Source organism: Homo sapiens, chromosome 20, assembly GCF_000001405.40.
Source record: "Homo sapiens chromosome 20, GRCh38.p14 Primary Assembly".
NCBI lineage: Eukaryota > Metazoa > Chordata > Mammalia > Primates > Hominidae > Homo > Homo sapiens.
The window spans coordinates 56,606,029-56,609,448 of NC_000020.11; the positions used below are offsets into that span (position 1 = coordinate 56,606,029).

Consider the following 3,420-nt stretch of genomic DNA (forward strand, 5'->3'; position numbering starts at 1 on the left):
GGTCAGGAGTTGGAGAACAGCTGGCCAACATGGTGAAACTCCGTCTCTACTAAAAGTACAAATATTAGCTGGGAATAGTAGCACCTGCCTGTAATCTCAGCTACTAGGGAGACTGAGGCATGAGAATCTTTTGAACCTGGGAGGTGGAGGTTGCAGTGAGCCGAGATCGCACCACTGCACTCTAGCCTGGTTGACAGAGCAAGCAAGACTCAGTCTCAAAAAAAAAAAGAAAAGAAAAGAAAAAGAAATGGTTCCAGCGCCTAAGGTGTCCTCCCCCTCTGGCTTTACTTTGCCCTGTGGCCCTGTTTCCAGATGCTGGGCCATGCATCTTACTACTTATTTGCTCATTGCTTTTCTCCCAGGCCAGGAAGTAATCATCACACACAGACTGCCATATACCCACCCTTAGGACACAGAAGGAGTAGGAGAAATACTTGTTGAATGAAAGCTACTATGACTTTTCAAACAATGAGAGTGCCTAAAAGTGATCAATACCTGATTAGCGATTGTTTTTTAATACATCTGATTCCTACCCATGGGAAGAGTTCCTATGTGGAATGAGGCTACAATTCTTTCACTGAAAATAAATTGCACCCTATCCTGGGTGCTGCTCCAACCTCACCTCAGGGCTGGGAGCCTGGTGCTGCCACACCCTTGCCCTGAGCAGAAGAATCCGGAAGAAGCCTTTGGCCAGAGCCGCAGGTGAGTCATTTGAGGACTCTATGCCCTTGTGGCCATCCTTCGGTCACCTGTCTGGAATTTTATTTTTTTTAGCCCCCGGGCTCTGCACCAAAGAGCTGGCTTTTTTTGTTGTTGTTCCAGCTATACCTAAAAGGGACCAGCCTCATTCATATAAAGATCTCAGATCTCTCAAAAGGCATCTACAAATTAAGAGTAATTCTGCTCAAAATTAAAGGAAAAACATTTTTTTGGCGGAGGAGGGAATTGTGTAGAGTTGAAGAAATCCAAGAGATTGTAAAGTTCTTGTGGAGGGTGGAGTCAGTGAGAGGAGGCAGAGAAACAAGGCGAAGGCCTTTGCGCTCCATCTGGTATCTGTGTCCAATAGATGGTTTCACCCACAGCATGGCAGAGTCCAGCAAGGATCCAAGAATATGCAGGAATCAGGGAAATGATGAAGACAGCACTTTAAATGGGAGGGATTTTTAAGTAAATGCTATTAGGCCAATCAACTGGAAGTCTATTCATTTGCAAACAGTAACATGAGGCTTCCTCCTCAAACCCCAAACACATATACACGCACATTCCACAGTTCCACACGGGCTCAAGACCCAAACCAAAAAAACAAATTCTATGAGAATGCTTGATACAAGACTAATAAAAAGAAGACTGGGCCAGGTGCGGTGGTGGCTCATGCCCATAATACCAACACCTTGGGAGGCCTAGGCAGGAGGATCACTTAAGGCCAGGAGTTTGAGACCAGCCTGGGCAGCACGGTGAGACCCCCGTCACTACAAAAAATACAAAAATTAGCTGGGTGTGCTCGCATGCTCCTGTGGTCCCAGCTACTCACCGGGCTGAGGTGGGAGGATCGCTTGAGCCCAGGAAATGGAGGCTGCAGTGAGCCCCGATTGAGTGATTGAACCTGGGTGACAGAGCATGACCCCGTCTCAAAAAAGAAAAAAAAAAAGAAACTACACTTTCAGGGATAATTTCTATAGTTGGTTACTAGAGAAGTTTCTTTAAATATGTAGAGCACCATTTAAACAGAATAATAAAAAGGCTGTGAGCAGTGGCTCATGCCTGTAATCCCAGCACTTTGGGAGGCCGAGGTGGGCAAATCGCTTGAGGCCAGGAGTTCGAGACCAGCCTGGCCAACATGGCAAAACCCCATCTCTATGAAAAATCCAAAAATTAAGCCGGGTGTGGTAGCTCATGCCTGTAATCTCAGCACTTTGGGAGGCCAAGGCAGACAGATCACCTGAGGTTGGGAGTTCAAGACCAGCCTGGCCAAAATGGTGAAACCTCGTCTCTACTAAAAATACAAAAATTAGCCAGGTGTGGTGGTGCATGTCTGTAATCACAGCTACTCAGGAGGCTGAGGCAGGAGAATTGCTTGAACCTGGGACGCGGAGGTTGCAGTGAGCTGAGATTGTGCCACTGCACTCCAGCCTGGGTGACAGAGCAAGACTCTGTCTCAAAAAAAAAAAAAAAAAAAAAGAGAAAGAAAAATACAAAAATTAGCCGGACTTGGTGGTCCACACCTGTAATCTCAGCTGCTCGGAGGCTGAAGCGGGAGAATCACTTGGACCAGACCCTGGAGACAGAGGTTGCAGCGAGCAGAGATTGCATCACTGCACTCTAGCCTGGGCAACAGAGTGAGACTCCATTTTAAAATAATAAGAAGAAGAAGAAGAAGAAAAAGAGAAAGAACACTAAAAAGATAGTGCAATGGTAACATGAGCAAAGAGCTTAAACAGGTAGTTCACTGAAGAAGGAATACAAGTAAATACAGTAAATACCAGAAGAGTTGTCATCACCATACCATTTCTACCATCAGGGCGCACAGATACTAAAATGACAAACAAACAGAAAATGAGACATAGCTGGAGATACCGTCGAAGAAGGGCCAAGAATGTTGCTTGGCAAATTCATGTAAAAGAGCAGTAAGATCTTCTTTAAAAAAGCTGTGTGCAGAAATATGTACTTAAATACAGTATATAGAAAAAGGACTCAATGGCTACAGACTTCTTAATCCTGGTTATTTCTGTGGAGAAGCTAGGGAGTTCCTACTTGTTATAGTGTACCAAGTGGAACATCCATTGCAGGTGAACTTACCAGGACACAGGCTCTCTTCTTCGCTGTCGGCAGGGGTCTAATTCAATTGATGGGAGCATTTGAGAACCTAAATGTAGCATTAGCTAAAAACTCTTGGACACTACACCCTCCCTTCTTGCATTTACCCTATAGCATGTACCTGTATGATTCTGTAAGTCCTATAGATACTATGGGGGATGGATCCATTACATTCTGTAGCATTGAACTTCCCAAATGCTCACAGCCCTTAGGTCCTAAACAGCCTGTGGGGTGGCTTTTGCTTGGGCCACAGGCTATATTAAAATATATTGCAATCAAGCAGGGGAATAGTTTAATCTTAAAGCAAGTGGTTTAGCACCTGGTGTGAGAATCTCGCTTGAGCCGCCTGCCTGGCCCTAAAGGGGACATCTCTAAACATCTGCCTCTGGGGTTCTGAAGTGTGCAGTGGGGAGTCACCTTCACAGAGAGGACTTGCTGTGACCTGTAAGACACCATGCCTCTTCTCTTTCCTTCCGAGTGCTGCCTGACAGTGTCCTAAGTATTTGTTTGTGGTGGTTTATCCTCCCCAATCATGGTAAGCTTTGTGAGATCAGGGGCTTTGTTGCTTTTGTTCCCCGGGGTCCCCAAGCCAGGCCTGGCATCTGG

General features: G+C 45.7%; 1 annotated feature.

Moving 5' to 3' along the window:
* Nucleotides 247-1,446: an enhancer, noted in NCBI's record as "P300/CBP strongly-dependent group 1 enhancer chr20:55181331-55182530 (GRCh37/hg19 assembly coordinates)". NCBI's record gives its function as "activates an origin of replication core promoter dependent on BRD2, BRD4, P300/CBP, MED14 and CDK7 cofactors, with strong dependence on P300/CBP, by STARR-seq in HCT116 cells {active_cell/tissue: HCT116}" and the evidence as "EXISTENCE:reporter gene assay evidence [ECO:0000049][PMID:35650434]".